This window comes from Homo sapiens, chromosome 8, assembly GCF_000001405.40.
Source record: "Homo sapiens chromosome 8, GRCh38.p14 Primary Assembly".
Taxonomy (NCBI): domain Eukaryota; kingdom Metazoa; phylum Chordata; class Mammalia; order Primates; family Hominidae; genus Homo; species Homo sapiens.
Genome location: NC_000008.11, coordinates 67,424,924 through 67,440,598, shown reverse-complemented (window position 1 = coordinate 67,440,598; position 15,675 = coordinate 67,424,924). Strand labels below are relative to the sequence as shown.

The 15,675-nt window shown below is 42.5% G+C and overlaps 1 protein-coding gene and 1 long non-coding RNA gene across 3 annotated transcripts in view, besides 1 other annotated feature; one reads left to right on the top strand and one right to left on the bottom strand.

Moving 5' to 3' along the window:
* The window catches only part of ARFGEF1-DT (ARFGEF1 divergent transcript), a 148,035-nt gene that overhangs the window by 51,270 nt on the left and 81,090 nt on the right, over positions 1-15,675 (bottom strand). The window lies entirely within an intron of this gene.
* The window catches only part of CPA6 (carboxypeptidase A6), a 324,323-nt gene that overhangs the window by 305,762 nt on the left and 2,886 nt on the right, over positions 1-15,675 (top strand). For both annotated transcript variants that reach the window (NM_020361.5, XM_017013646.2), the window contains exons 9-10: positions 6,359-6,561; positions 12,468-12,552. In NM_020361.5, coding sequence (NP_065094.3) covers positions 6,359-6,561; positions 12,468-12,552 — 288 coding nt within the window. The remainder of the gene's footprint in view (positions 1-6,358; positions 6,562-12,467; positions 12,553-15,675) is intronic.
* Positions 7,617-7,666: an enhancer, noted in NCBI's record as "active region_27499". NCBI's record gives its function as "activates an Ori minimal core promoter by ATAC-STARR-seq in GM12878 lymphoblastoid cells {active_cell/tissue: GM12878}" and the evidence as "EXISTENCE:reporter gene assay evidence [ECO:0000049][PMID:35858748]".

The window sequence follows — 15,675 nt, the reverse complement described above, 5'->3', positions numbered from 1 at the left end:
GAACATGTTATTTTTTATTATTTTTTTTGAGATAGGGTCTTTCTCTGCCACCCAGGCTGGAGTACAGTGGCACGATCTTGGCTCACTTCAAACTCCACCCCCTGGGTTCAAGCGATTCTCACACCTCAGCCTCCTGAGTAGCTGGGATTACAGGTGTGTGTCACCACGCCCTGCCAATTTTTGTATTTTTAGTAGAGACAGAGTTTTACCACGTTGGCCAGGCTGGTCTCAAACTCCTGACCTCAAGTGATCCGCCCGCTTCAGCCTCCCAAAGTGTTGGGATTACAGGTGTGAGTCACCATACCTGGCCTCAGAACATATGTCTTTCTTTAAGTGATACATGGCTGGAATGCATCCACAAACCAAGAAATGCCAAGGATTGCAAAGAACCACCCAAAGCTAGGAAGAGGCAAGGAAGGATTCTTCCCTAGAGAATTCAGAAGGTGGATGGCCCTGCTGACACCTTGATTCCAGACTTTTAGCCTCAAGAACTGTACGAGAATAAATTTCTGTTATTTTAAGTGGCTTAGTTTGTAGTAATGTGTTACGGCAGCCTTAGGAAACTAATACAAATACCAAGGCTGCCACAATACTAAAAGTAGACATCTGGAATATCTACTTACACCACACTTTTTTCTATGGATCTTCTTTATTTTTCTATATGAAAACATCAGGCCAGGCACTATGGCTTATGCCCGTAATCTCAATATTTTGGGAATCTAAGGTGGAAGGATTGCTTGAGCTCAGGAATTCAACACCAGCCTGGGCAACATAGCAAGACCTCATCTCTATTAAAAATAATTTTTTAATCATTTCCTGCAGGATTCAAGATAAAAAATAAATAAATAAAATAAAATCAGTCATTTGATCAATTAGTTTCACCTATTAGCATTCTTCATGATCACTGTTACTTTAAGACTTATTTCTGCCGTCTTAATTCCTGTATTCCTGTTCTCTGTTTTCCAGTGTTTCTTTTCTTTCTTTTTCTTTTTCTTTCTTTTTTTTTTTTGAGACCGAGTCTTGCTCTTGTCACCCAGGCTGGAGTGCAATGGCGTGATCTCAGCTCACTTCAACCTCTGCCTCCTGGGTTCAAGTGATTCTCCTGCCTCAGCCTCCCAAGTAGCTGGGATTAAACGCATGCACCACCATACCTGGCTAATTTTTTTGTATTTTTAGTAGAAACAGGGTTTCACCATGTTGGCCAGGCAGGTCTCAAACTCCTTACCTCAAGTGATCCACCTGCCTTGGCTCCCAAAGTGCTGGGATTACAGGCATGAGCCACCATGCCCAGCCTCTTTTCTTTTAAGAAAGAGGGTATTGCTCTGTCACCCAGACTAGAGTGCAATGGCACCATCACAACTCACTGTAACCTCAAACTCCCAGGCTCAGGCAATCCTGCCTCTGCCTTTCAAGTAGCTAGGACTACAGGTGTGTGCCACCATACCTGGCTAATTTTTTTAAATTTTTGTAGAGATGGGATCTCACTATGTTGGCCAGGCTGGTCTCAAACTCCTGGCCTCAAGCAATCCTCCATGCTCAGCCTCCCAAAGTGCTGGGATTATAGGTGTAAGCCATTGCAGCTGGCCCTGTTTCTTCTTTTTTCTTTTTTCCTTCTTTACTACTTTCTATTAAATGGTTCAAAATTACTTCCATTAGTTGTGAATTTTGTGTTCTATTTTTCTTATTCTGGTGGTTATTCCTAACTTAAGACTCATACTTAAGTTTTTTTTTCCATCAATTTCTAAATTTAATCAATATCTATATCTCCTTTTCAAAATAGACCAACAATTTAGCATGCTTTTGCCTTCCCTGCCCACCTCCCTCTTTATTTTCCATCAATTTGTTGTCTCCTAGGATTTGATACCTGGATCATTATACTTCGCCCCCCCACTTTGGATATTGCTTATTTAGATAGCAGATGTTACTAAGTTGCTTACTAACCTGCGATTCTCATATCGCTGTAGATATGAGATATGTAGAGTAGGCTCTCTGGAGTTACTCATTATTTTGTGGGAATACTTTCTTCAGGGGTGTTTGCAAAGTATGTCAGTGTATGGTATATTCTTTTGAAGCCTTTTAGATGCTAGAGAACATTGTTATTTCACTCACATTGCAATGGGAATTCAGCTAGATATAGAAGCCTAGATTCAAAATTCCTTTTTAATAAAAACATTGGATATAGTACTCATGTTGCTGTTGAAAAGTCAAATGTGAATGGAATTCTTGTTCCTTTCTAAATGACCTGCTTTTTCTCTCTAGAATTGTTTTCTTTTCTTAAATTTCACTATAATTTGTCAAAGTGTTGATATTTTCCTCTTTATCTCTTTTGTTTGGTGCACAATAAGTCTATTCAATCTTTCCTTAATTGTGGAGACATTTTTAGCCGGGCATGGTGGCCCATGCCTGTAATCCCAGCACTTTCGGAGGCCAAGGCGGGCAGATCACTTGAGGTCAGGAGTTCAAGACAAGCCTGGCAAACATGGTGAAACCCCGTCTCTACTAAAAATACAAAAACTAGCCAGGTGTGGTGGCAGGGTGCCTGTAATCTCAGGTACTCGGGAGGCTGAGGCAGGAGAATCACTTGAACTCAAGGAGGCAGAGGTTGCAGTGAGCTGAGATTGCACCACTGCACTCCAGCCTGAGCGACTGAGCAAGACTCCATCACCCCCCACCCCCCAGAAAAAAAGAATTGTGGAGAAATTTTAATTAGCAGTTCTTCAAATATTTAACTTTAGCTTTTTCTTTCCTTCTAGGGCTCCCATTTATCACATATTGATATTTATTTTATTTTTCATGCCCTTTCATTTTTCTGTCATTTTTCCTATTCTTTACTCTTCCCCATGCCTTCTAGGAATGTTTCAAACCACTCTCCATCTTATTAATTCATTCATCAACTGTATTCATTCAACCCTGAATTAAATTGTTTGTTTCTACTATATCTGGTTGGTCCTTTTTTATAACTCCTTGTCCCTATTTGTTTCCAGTGCCCTCCTACATGCCCTTGAGAATATTTGTTAGGATTATTGTAAATTCTTGTTTTCTCTGGCTCATCAGTTCTGCTCCCTCCAGAATTAGTTGTTTAGTTTGTGATCCTGCCTTTTCAGTGCTTTAGGTCTGTATTCCACAGATCTCTCTTTATTTTTTCCATTCCCTCCAGAGTATCAGCTATAGTTTTTTTTGTTTTGTTTTATTTTGTTTTGTTTTGAGACAGAGTCTCGCTCTGTCGCCCAGGCTGGAGTGCGGTGGCGCAAGCTCCGCTCGCTACAAGCTCCGCCTCCCGGGTTCGTGCCATTCTCCTGCCTCAGCTTACCGAGTAGCTGGGACTACAGGCCCCCGCCACCACACCCGGCTAATTTTTTGTATTTTTAGCAGACACGGGGTTTCACTGTGTTAGCCAGGATGGTCTCGATCTCCTGACCTCGTGATCCGCCCGCCTCGTCCTCCCAAAGTGCTGGGATTACAAGCATAAGCCACCACGCCTGGCCCAGCTATAGTTTTTATATTACATTCTGAGTTCCATCTATAGCCCACTTGCTTCTGAGGCATCTCCAGGATGAGATTCAAAGAAGGGAAACCCCAATTGCTGTAAGTTCCCCACTCGACTCTTGACTTCCCTACAGCATGAACTACACTTACGGTCCTCAAGATTTAGCCCAATTTGACTGGGCTGTCTTTTCATGTTCAGTAGAATTAGGCTACATCACAGAACCACCAAATATTTTCTACTAGTTTATGGAGAGAATTATCATTTTCTAGAGTTAGGGAAGAGACATTAGTGGCCTCATATGGCAAATAACTATGGAAAATCTAATTATTTCCACATTTTCTTAGAACCATAATACTTTGTGATTGTTACAGTGATTCTTATTTTCCTTCCTTCCTTCCTTAGACCTCTTAAATATACCATATATAGTTTGATTTTTAATTCAAAAGTTATTAAAATTTTGTTTTGAAGATTTCATAACTAAACTCTAACCAATCCCCAAGATAACTAGAAAAGCCTCCTGGTTTTACACAACTAGTTTGGATAGCGCTGTTCTAAAAGCATAATAGAAATTGGTGAAATTATTTCTGGCCTGCCTTTATGTTCTTGCTATATCAATATTTGTATCTTATCAGATACCTTTACATATGTCTAGCCTTTTCTTTCTTTTTTTTTGGTCGTTGCCAAAAATATACACATCTTCTTTTCTTTATTAAAAAAAAAAAAAATACCCAACAACAAAAACCCAAACAGAAACACACAGAAAAATCCACACATGCAAAGAGACTGACAAGGCCGGAGCCTGGGGAAGCTGGAAACCCCTACCCTGGGCTCCAACCCCAGTGCAACTGAAACAGGGACATCGGCTTCGCCTTGCCTCTCGCCTCTCTCCTGACTGTCCACTCAGCCTCTGTGCCAAAGGCCTGGGCAGGTGGGGACTCTTTGAAGGTGAGAATTGCCCACTCTACACTGGGGAAATAGCTGGTGGGTGAGGGGACAGTTGTTAGTCAGCTTAGTGGCTCCCCTGGTTGGTGGGGGTGGGGTGCAGGAGGCAAGCTGGCTAATTCTGGGAGGGAGGCTTTTGCTAAAAGCTGTGGCATTTCCCCCCACCTTACGCCCTCCCCCAAGCCCTGGGGCTCCCCTTGTGCCAGAGAAGGAGGAAGCTATCAGTGGGGTAGGGGGCCCTAAGGGGGCCCTGAGACCATGTGGGGTCAGGGGAGGGAAGGCAGGATACTACCCTGATTCAAAGCCCTGTGCCCCCAGTGACTCTCCAATATTGGAGTACTGCTCTGGTGTTTGTTAACCATTCATGCCCCCAGAGAGGGACCAAAGTTGGTGAGGTGGGGAGGGTGCAAATAAGAGCTGGGAGGTCCCCTCTCTGGCACTGCTTCATCTGACCACTGCACCTATCCCTGCCCTTGGCTGCCCTGGGTCCAGGAGGAGAGAGACAGGCAGACAGACACATACACACACACACACACACACATGCACGCACACACACTCACACACTGAGTCAGGCAGCTCCATCTCCCCACCCTCGGCACTCCTAAGTCCAATAGTGCAAACAAAGGGCGGGGCACCAAGGAAGGCCGGAGCCTCCCCGCACCTGCCGTCTCCTCCCCATCACAGGGCCCCAAGAGGTTGAGGAGGCTGGGGCTGAGTGTGATGCTCTCCTGCCCCTTCTCCAGCCCCCAACATCTGTGGGCTTTTACAAGCTCAGCTTGTGCCCCTGCGCTGGGGGGAGGGATGGCGAGAAAAAGTCCAAGGGGTCCCTTCTGCCATCTGCCTGAGCTGGGAAGAAACTGCAGGTAAAGTGGGTCCAGCCCTTCTTCCATAAAAGATTTCCCCGCAGGGACAGGCCCAGGGCCTCTCCCTCCACTTCTCCCCATTCAAGTGCTGATCCATTTCATGTGACAGGTCCAACCAACCCCCTACTTCTTCCATGGCCCACTGTGCTCTCTGGGGGGACCTCCAAAACATTTGCTGGGGATGGACCTCCTAGGTGGGCTTGCAGACTGTCCTTCCTCTGAGCCTCACAAAGCGGACAGTACAGAAAGGGAAGGGGGCCAGATGGAGGGGGCTCCCCTCTCAGTCTCAGTCCTTGACACCAGGAGCTCTCCACACTCCCTGGACCTCAGCACAGGCTCTGGGTCAAGGCTCTCCAGGGTCTGGGCGCAGGCGCCTGCTCCAGGCTAGGACCCCTCAGGCCAGGATCTGTTCCCTCCACTTGGGGGGTCAGGAGGGGTAAGGGTGGATTTAGCCTTTTTCCTGGTTGGCTGAGGCTCCTTTGTCAGCGGTCCCTCCTTTGGGGCCACCGCCACTGCCGTCTGCTCCCGACAGGCTGAGGAAGGGGTTGGTCTGGGCAGTGAGGACTGGAGGTCCGCCTGCTGCTGCCACTGCTGCAGCTGCAGCTGCTGCGGCCATGAGACTTGTGTTGTTGCCAAGCGAGGGAGCCACTAGGGCTCCAGCGGGCAGCAGGGGTGGAGCAGACGCTGTAGGCAGCATAGCCTTTTCTTTCTATCTGACATTAACTTATTCAACAAATACCTGTTGAACACTTGCTGTACTATTGTTCTAGCTGCTAGGTGCAGCTAGAAGTGACAGCTGATAGAGCAATTTCTTTAGAGTGGTTTGTGCATGTTCAGTTGAAAAATCACTACCTGGTTTCTATTCAGGCCCTCCTGTTGTGCATGGGAACTTCAATCACCTTAGAACTTTTGTACTGATTTCCATAAATGAGAAGTTAGATGAATTGCTTAATAATACCATATGTTTGGAGAAATAAAAGAAAAATCACAGCTTAACAGTGCTGATTTGTGTTTCTTGTTTCTTCCCTGCCCACTTCCTTACCCCATTTTCTTTTCTGACTTGCAGATGAAGGAGCTTCTATGCACCCTTGTGATGACACATACTGTGGCCCTTTTCCAGAATCTGAGCCGGAAGTGAAGGCTGTAGCTAACTTCCTTCGAAAACACAGAAAGCACATTAGGGCTTATCTCTCCTTTCATGCATATGCTCAGATGTTACTGTATCCCTATTCTTACAAATATGCAACAATTCCCAATTTTAGATGTGTGGTAAGTATTTGACCCTGTGCATGTACATCAGGCTTCATGCTGCTTTTCTGAAGCTAAGATGGTTCTAAGTACTAATGATAATGGCAAACACATGTTTGTGTTTATCCTAATAAATATTTTACATGTATTAATTCATTTATTCTTCATTAACAATCATATGAGGCAGCTTTTATTATCCCCACTTTACAGGTAAAGAAGCTAGAAGCTGAGAGATTAAGTAATTAGATAGAGAACACACAACTACTAAGTCTCATAGCCAGGATTCAGCCCCAAGTCTAGTTCCCTAGCTGTTGCTTTTAACCGTAGTGCTGCTTCTCAAATACAATCATTTCAAACCTATTTACATTCTTACCACAGGTTACACAGAAAAAGTCAGGGTGGATTTGATTAGTATCATAGTTTTGGTCATGTATGCAAGGCTGTAATTAATTTTATTGAGTAAATGATTATTCATAAATTATAGATTGATTCTCATTAATTAAAAGCAGGTTTTAATTTATAAGTGCTATTTGCTTAATGCTACTAAGTCTTTGGGTATGTATCTGACAAGTTAGTACTAAGAATGAACAGACGTTCAGGCATAAGATTACTTAAAAATGAAAAAGCAGAGTTTCTTTCTCTCCTTATATCAGAAACCCAACAAGCTATTCACTATAGGGCATCAGTCATCATGAAGTGAGTCGTTTCAGAGCCTATAGCATCTAAAAGCCTATAAAGTTCAAAAACCAAGAAAAACTAATATACAGTGCTAGAAGTCAGGTGGTACTTACCTCTGGGGAAAAGGAGGGGGTGCAGTGATTGGGAGGAAATTGGGTTGCTGCTGAAGTTCTATTCCTTGACCTGGATGGTGGTTACATGAATGTATTCAATTTGTGATCGTTTGTTGAGCAATCAACTCAAAAACAGTGTACTCTTCTACGTGTATATTTTAGGGCTTTTTTGGCCTCTTGACACCAAATGTGTGATGTCTTTTTCCAGTACCACCTCTCCAACACCACTTGGGTGTCCAACAATTCAATTCCATTTGGTCACTGACTACCCAGAGTTAGCATCAGACTCCACAGGTTTAAGGACTCAGTCCCACATGACTGCCCTCACTTCAGACACCAGTAGCAAGTAGGGGGTTCCCAAGTTAACCACATTCCTGTCTGACTTGGCTGCAGAGTCGCAGGTTCCTACCAGCCCACCTCTGGTTTGATAATTCACTAGAATGACTCACAGAGCTCAGGAAAGAGCTTTGCATACTATCACCTGTTCATTTAAGATACACAATTGGCTGGATACAGTGGCTCGCTCCTATAATCCAAGTACTTTGGGAGGCCCAGACAGGTGGATCATTTGAGTCCAGACATTTGAGACCAGCCTGCACAACATGGTGAGATGCCCATCTCTACAAAAAAATTAAAAATTAGCCAGGTGTGGTGGTGGCACACACCTGTGATCCCAGCTACTCAGGAGGCTGGAACAGGAGGATCACTTGAGCTCATGAGGTCAGGGCTGCAGTGAGACATGTTCATGCCACTGCCCTGCAGCCAGGGAGACAGAGTGAGACCCTGTCTTAACAATCAATCAATCAATCACACAACTCAGGAATCGCCAAATGGAAGAGAAGCATACGGCAATGTATGGGGGAAGGGGCTCAGGGCTTCCGTGCGTTCTCTGGGTGCATCAACCTCCCAGCACATCCAGTGCTCATTAATCCAAACGCTCTCCAAACCCTGCTGTTTAGGGGTATTCATGACGATTTCATTACATAGGTCTAATTGATTAAATCATTAGCCATTGGAGTTTGGACTCAATCTCTGGCCTCTCTCTCCTCCTCAGAGGGTGAAGGATGGAGCTAAAAGTTCCAACTCTCTAATCACAAAGTTTGGTCTTTCTGGCAGCACCCTGCATCCTGAAGCTACTTAGCGGCCTCCAGCCCCAAGTCATCTCATTACCATCCAAAAGACACCCTTAGCACTCTGGAGATGCCAGGAGTTTTTAGAAACTGTGTGCCAAGAACCAGGACAAGGACCAAGTATTTATTTTTTATTATACCACAATGTTATACCTGAATTTAAAATTTTATTAAAGAGAATCATTCCCTTTCTCCCTACACCTTAAACTCCAAATCCTGCACCAATTGCTTGGGGCTTTAGGAATTTCTGATCTAGATGTCTAAGACTTGTGGAGGGCCTGGGGAAGACTTTTATTCTGTCCAAAAAAGAGAATTTTGTTCTTGGCATTCCAAGAATTCTGAGCAAATTCCACCTCTTTAGAACTATTGTAAAAGTGATAATTATATTCTATACTGCTATTCTTTAGCTGCTCTGCAGGTCAAATATACTTTGTTTTTGTTGCTGCTGCTGCTATAGCTGTTGTTTTTGTTGACCCGGCACCCTAACAATTTGTATCACAGTATTCCTTTAGGCAAATGTTCAGACTTTTTTTTACGTGGGCACTGTGTCTGTTTATATTCATACAACAGATGATGTGGACTATATAATATATAAAAATTATTGTATGAGGGCTGGGCACAGTGGCTGATGCCTGTAATCCCAGCACTTTGGGAGGCCAAGCTGACAGGAGTTCGAGAGCAGCCTGGGCAACATGGTTTAACCCCATCTCTAAAATAAAAAATACAAAAATTAGCCGGGCCTGGTGGCAGACACCTGTAGTCCCAGCTACTTGGGAGGCTGAGGCAGGAGAATCACTTGAACCTGGGAGGTGGAGGTTTGCAGTGAGCCAAGATGGCATCACTGCATTCCAGCCTGGGCAACAGAGTGAGACTCCATCTGAAAAAAAAAAATTATCATATGAGAATGTTCTTCGTATTTTATCTTCCCACCTTAAGTTAAGCCTATTTTCCTTTGTCTTGGATTGGAACATGTGGCATAAAATGGATCATTAGTGCCTATAATCCCAGCACTTTGGGAGGCCCAGGCTGGAGGATTGCTTGGGCCCAGGAGTTCAAGACCAGCCTAGGTAATATAGTGGGACCTCATCTCTACAAAATATTTTTAAAAATTAGCCAGGCATAGTGGTGCATACCTGTAGTCCCAGCAACTCAGGAGGCAGAGGTGAGAGGATTGCTTGAGTCCAGGAGGCAGAGGTTACAGTAAGCTAAGGTTATGCTACTGCACTCTGACCTGGGTGACAGAGTGAGACCCTGTCTCAAAGAAAGGAAAGAAAAAAAAAAGATGAATTTGCTTCCCCATGGACATCTGGCAATGTCTAGAGACATTTTTGATTGGCACAACAGGGTGGGGGGATGCTACTGGCATCTAGCAGGTATAGGCCAAGGATGGTGCTAAACACCCTGCAGTGCACAGGACAGAACCCACAGCAAAGAATTATTCCGTCTAAGATGTCAACAATGCCATTGTTGAGAAATCCTGGAGAGTGTTAATCATAAGCTTGGTCACTAAAATCATGGTTATAATTCTCAGGAACTAGACAATCCCTGAATGTTAAGCAGAAACCATTAAATTTGATGAAAATTGTTTAAAAACATTCCATCAATATGTAAGATTCGGTATTTCTGGCAATGTTTTTTAGTCATTAAGTTGCTTTAAATATGGAAATATTTAAATAAAAATATATACTATTTTGGGAGGCCAAGGCAGGCAGATCAGATCACCTGAGGTCAGGAGTTTGAGACCAGCCTGACCAACATGGTGAAACCCCATCTCTACTAAAAATACAAAAATTAGCCAGGCGTGGTCGCGGGTGCCTGTAATCCCAGCTACTTGGGAGGCTAAGGCAGGAGAATGACTTGAACCTGGTAGGCAGAGGTTGCAGTAAGCCGAGATCACGCCATTGCACTCCAGCCTGGGCGACAAGAGCAAAACTCTGTCTAAAAAAAAAAAAAAACAAAATATATACACACACACACACACACACACACACACACACACACACACATATATATATACCATTTACTTAGCTGAACACCAATAACTGATGCCTAGGTACTTTTTGACAATTGGAAACAGGATACAGTAGAAAAAAGAGGGATCACTGAAATCAGTCCTTTCAAATAGGTGTCTAGCTGTGGCCCCCTGGAAAATAATTCTTGGAAAAAATGATGAAGTTTTTATTTTTGTGGAGAGATCACATCTAAACCCTAGTCAACACGCACCAGTACCCAAGTGGCAGAGGTGCAGTGAGCTCAAAAGGCTAAAACTGTGCATCTCCTTTGTGTAAATAGGCAAAGTGATTATCTTTTTTTTTCTTAGATTTTTTTTGCCCTTGGGTTTAGTCAGCCTAAATAATGAGAAGCAAAGTTCCCTTACTAGCAGAATGAAATAATCTTCTGAATGTAGAAATATCTGCCCTTGCCATGGAATATTGCTGAGACCGTTGGAGAAGATGTTAAAATCTTAGAACAATCTCCATAAAGGTATTTAATTGTGGTGTTTATATTCCTTTTCTGTTGGCTCCCATGAGAAGAATGTCATCGTCAGTGAGATCAATAGTAAACAGTCTGCCAGTTTCTGGAGCCTGGTCCCTGAATATCCACAAATGGTGGCATTTGCTGCAAATACTGCCTCATGCATTTCTGAGCTGAATGAGGACAGCAACCTGAAACTCAGTCCAGCACACACCACCACGTTGTCCGGAGTGCTCCAATTTAAGTATTAAATTATTCATAAGCAAGCTGAAATCGGAGAGTTGTATTCTGGTTTCAACATACTTCTTTTCCTCTCATTTGTCATGTAATACTTCTCTAACTCCTTGTTGAAACCAGTGTTTTTATACCATATTTAAAGGATAGTGAGTATCATTCTAGTTCATGTTAGAATATCCATCTTTTAGTATTTCGATTGTGTTGAATATTTTTCCTAATTTTTGCCATTCTTAGGAAAAGTTCCACCTTAGACTTTCTACCTCTTCGCAGTACCTGTGTAAGATCTGTGGGAGGCATATGTAACCTGAGAAGTCATGAGCATTCTGAAGTTGTTTCCATTCCTAGTGAGGATAAGCACATAGCATTAAGAGAAGTCATTCCTACTGAATTAAGGGGTTTCTTAATTGATTCAGATGTGTTCTAAATACCTTGTACATACCCAGTGAAATATATACTTAAGAATCAATGTAATTATCTTAATACTCTTTCAGATTTATGCTTATTCAACATTCATGTAAGAAATATTGATCAAGCATCTGTTGTATACAGGCACATTGCTAAGTACTGGTTGTGAGCTATGACTGAGACCGACATGGTCCCTGCCCGGCCAAGTATTTTGTAACTTATAGAAATAGGTATCCCTGGCCGGGTGCGGTGACTCATGTCTGTAGTACCAGCACTTTGGGAGGCCGAGGTGGGCCGATCACAAGGCCAGGAGATCGAGACCATCCTGGCTAACACGGTGAAACCCCATGTATACTAAGAATACAAAAAAATAGCAAGGCGTGGTGGCACGCGCTTGTAGTCCCAGCTACTCAGGAGGCTGAGGCAGGGGAATCGCTTGAACCCAGGAGGTGGAGGTTGCAGTGAGCAGAGATCGCGCCATTGCACTCCAGCCTGGGCGACAGAGCGAGACTCCTTCCAAAAAAAAAAGAAAGAAATTGTTGCCTTGAACTAAAGTCAAGGAACGGAACACTAAGTCAGCCTCAGAAAATATGAGTACTTAGCTCAACCATTCTGCGTACCCATTTAACCTTGCTGAGCCTTCCTTCTCTCATCTATAAAATGAAAATATTATTGATCACTGGTTTGTTGTGAGATCAATGAAATGATGTGTTCTAAAACATGTTGCAAAATGTAGCGTGTGACATAAGAGTAATATAATATTATTAATGAATATAGATCTTAACCAATGAAGCCATCTGGTGATGATCGATGAGGCTCAAACAACATAGCAGTGTATCTAAAAGTTTCAATGCAACAATATATAAAATTTCCCCATTTTCCCTCATAGGAATCTGCAGCTTATAAAGCTGTGAATGCACTTCAGTCAGTATACGGGGTACGATACAGATATGGACCAGCCTCCACAACGTTGTGTAAGTTTCCTGCGTACATTGTGTTAGAATCCTCTCTCTTGAACCAATATCCTGTATCATGACTTCCTTTTAGAAGGGAGAAAGTGTGTTCTCCCTAAAGTGAAAATTTTGACTATCAAATTAGCTGAGGAAAATAGAAGGAGTTTATATCTGATTCGTTTTACACAGCTTGACAGAAATCACTGTACCCATTTAAATAAATTCAAAGCAGAGAATATGCTAAGTGTGCAGTAACGACTACAAGCTCATTTGAGAGCTTATGAGAGTAGAACATACCAAAATGGGCTCCTTAAGCAATTCTAACTACTACAAGGGTGGAAACGGGCCTTGGGAAGATAATGAGGTAAATGTTTCAGCCCTACAACTGCTTCCCTTTTACTCCTTTCTGCCACCGTTCTTGTTATGAAATGCTGTTTCTTATGTAGCACCGTCCATTGAATTATCCCTTAAAAGATGATGTAAAAGTATTTCTTTTTTTTACATGGAGAAAAATGTATAGCAGAGCCAGAGATCACTTCCAACCCCCCCTCATCTCCCATCTTTCACTCCACGTAGGTTCTTCAGCTGGATCTGGAAACCAAATTGACACCAGGCAGGTTAAACAAGAGAAAAGTATACAAATTTTATTAATTCTATGTGTACAGGATCTTCATAACAGAGTGAAGTCCAAAGAAGTGGCCAAAGCAAGATGATTTTATACTTTTTGGACAAGGAACGATAAATTTGAGAATAAATAACAGGACAAAAAAATCTGGCTAAGGGCAGCAAATTTTCTAGGGGAGTCACTAGGAAATAAATAGGGGGTATGTAAAACCAATGGAAGATAAGGGTTGCTTTGTTGTTAGGTCCACTGCAGCCTTGAATTCAAGTCTGTGGTGATAAAGGGCTATTTTCTCACCCTTCTTATAGTGAGAATAACCCTCCTCGAGGAATCTTTACTGTTTGCTGCATGCAGGAAGAAACAAGTCAGCTCACCCTTTCTGAAACTACAATCTCCAATGTTTTCAACAATTAACATATCAATCTGGCTTATTTTGGGATGGCATGTCCTTCCAAGTGGGTATATGGCAAGAACTTCGACAAAGAATCATAGTATGGGCATTGTAGTCCTAATTCTGCCAGGTCTGTCAACCAGGCCAAAATATTTATTAATCCTGGGCCTCAGTTTCCACAACTGTAACAAGAATTGGATTCAGGGCCTTTTAAACTCTAAAATTTATTCACTATATGACTTGGAAAATCTAGTGAGAAATCATGTATGTGTGAATGTCGGTGTGTGCAAATGAAGGTAAACACACACATGTTGTATGTATATGTGTAGGTAGTGACATCTGATTATGCTTCTGATTAAGGTAGCAAAGTTCTCCTTGACTTCTTTAATCTACCTATCATTGTATTCCTAATGTTTTACCACTCACTTTCTTCAGCCTTCAGAACAAACACTTGGTTTGTCAATTAACATTGACAAATAAGTTTATTCTAATAATGAGAATGTCAGGAGTATCAATAGTTTTGTTTATTTTTTCAAAGTCCATGATCATTGGTCTCATGTTGACCTTTTTAGAACTGTTTTTCAGTGGCCACCTTGAAAGGGAAAAAAAAAAACTGTATTTAAACAATCATATTACCAATTAATGCCAACATAATATATATAAACATTTTTAAACATTAACGTTTTTTAATCTTACTAACCATTTACCTTTTCAACTTCATATAGAGTCACAGTCAGAGTATTATATTTACTGAGAACAGTCTATTACCATAGAAATGAGGCTGTTGGCCGGATGCGGCGGCTCACGCCTGCAATCCTAGCACTTTGCAAGGCCAAAGCGGGTGGATCATCTGAGGTCAGGAGTTCTAGACCAGCCGGGCCAACATGGCAAAACCCCTTATCTACTAAAAAGACAAAAATTAGCTGGGCATAGTGGCATGCACCTGTAATCCCAGCTACCCAGTTGGCTGAGGCAGGAGAATCGCTTGAATCAGGGAGGCAGAGGTAGCGGGTGCCTGTAATCACAGCTAATCAGGAGGCTGAGGCAGGAGAATCTCTTGAACCCCAGGAGCAGAGATTGCAGTGAGCCAAGATGGTGCCATTGCACTCCAGCCTGGGTGACAGAGCGAGATTCTGTTTCAAAAAAAAAAAAAAAGAAAAGAAAAAGAAAAAGAAATGAGGCTGTCACATCACCGTGATGTAACTGTTGGCACATATTGTCTCTGACTTGGCTACTATGACTACTATTTGTAGTTCCAATGTACCCTAACCAGAGGGACACTGAAGCCACAGCCTATTTTCTGTCCTTAACTGAAGCAAAGGGAATCTGAGAAGCAGAAGAGTCATTTTAATTGTCATCTTTACATAATTATTCCATCTCTGGCCTGGCACAGTGGCTCACGCCTATAATCCCAGCACTTTGGAAGGCCGAGGTGGGTGGATCACCTGAGCAGGAGTTTGAGACCAGCCTGGCTAACATGGTGAAACCCCATCTCTACTAAAAATACAAAAAATTAGCTGGGCATGGCGGTGTGCGCCTGTAATCCCAGCTACTCAGTTGACTGAGGCAGGAGAATCTCTTGAACCAGGGGGACAGAGGTTGCAGTGAGTCAAGATTGCACCACTGCACTCCAGCCTGGGTGCCAGAGGGAGACTCCATCTCAAGAAAAAATAACAATAATAATAATAATTCCATCCTAACTTGTCCTAGGAAAAATAGCATAAAAGCGTTATTTTTTGAGTAAATGACCATGCTTTGAAAATTTAATAATAATAATAATAATAGGATTATCTCAAGCTGGATTATATAAATTTCAGGAAAAATGTATACAAAGATTTTTCCATGAAACATTTATTCATTTAATGAATGATTATTAAAAGCCTGTTAGACTAAAAACTACATATGCACTTGAGGATATAAAGAGGCAAAATAATAAGTTAATATATCTTGAGTACTTTCCAGTGATTTATTACTTTATTTAATTTTCCCAACAACCCTATGTTATGCAGGTACTGTATTATCAGTCTCTTTTTCAAAAAGGGAGACTGAGGCACAGAGAAGTTACCCACTATGTGGTAGGATCAGATACAGCCCAGGCTGCAGGCTACCTCTAGTTCCCAGCTTTCAACTC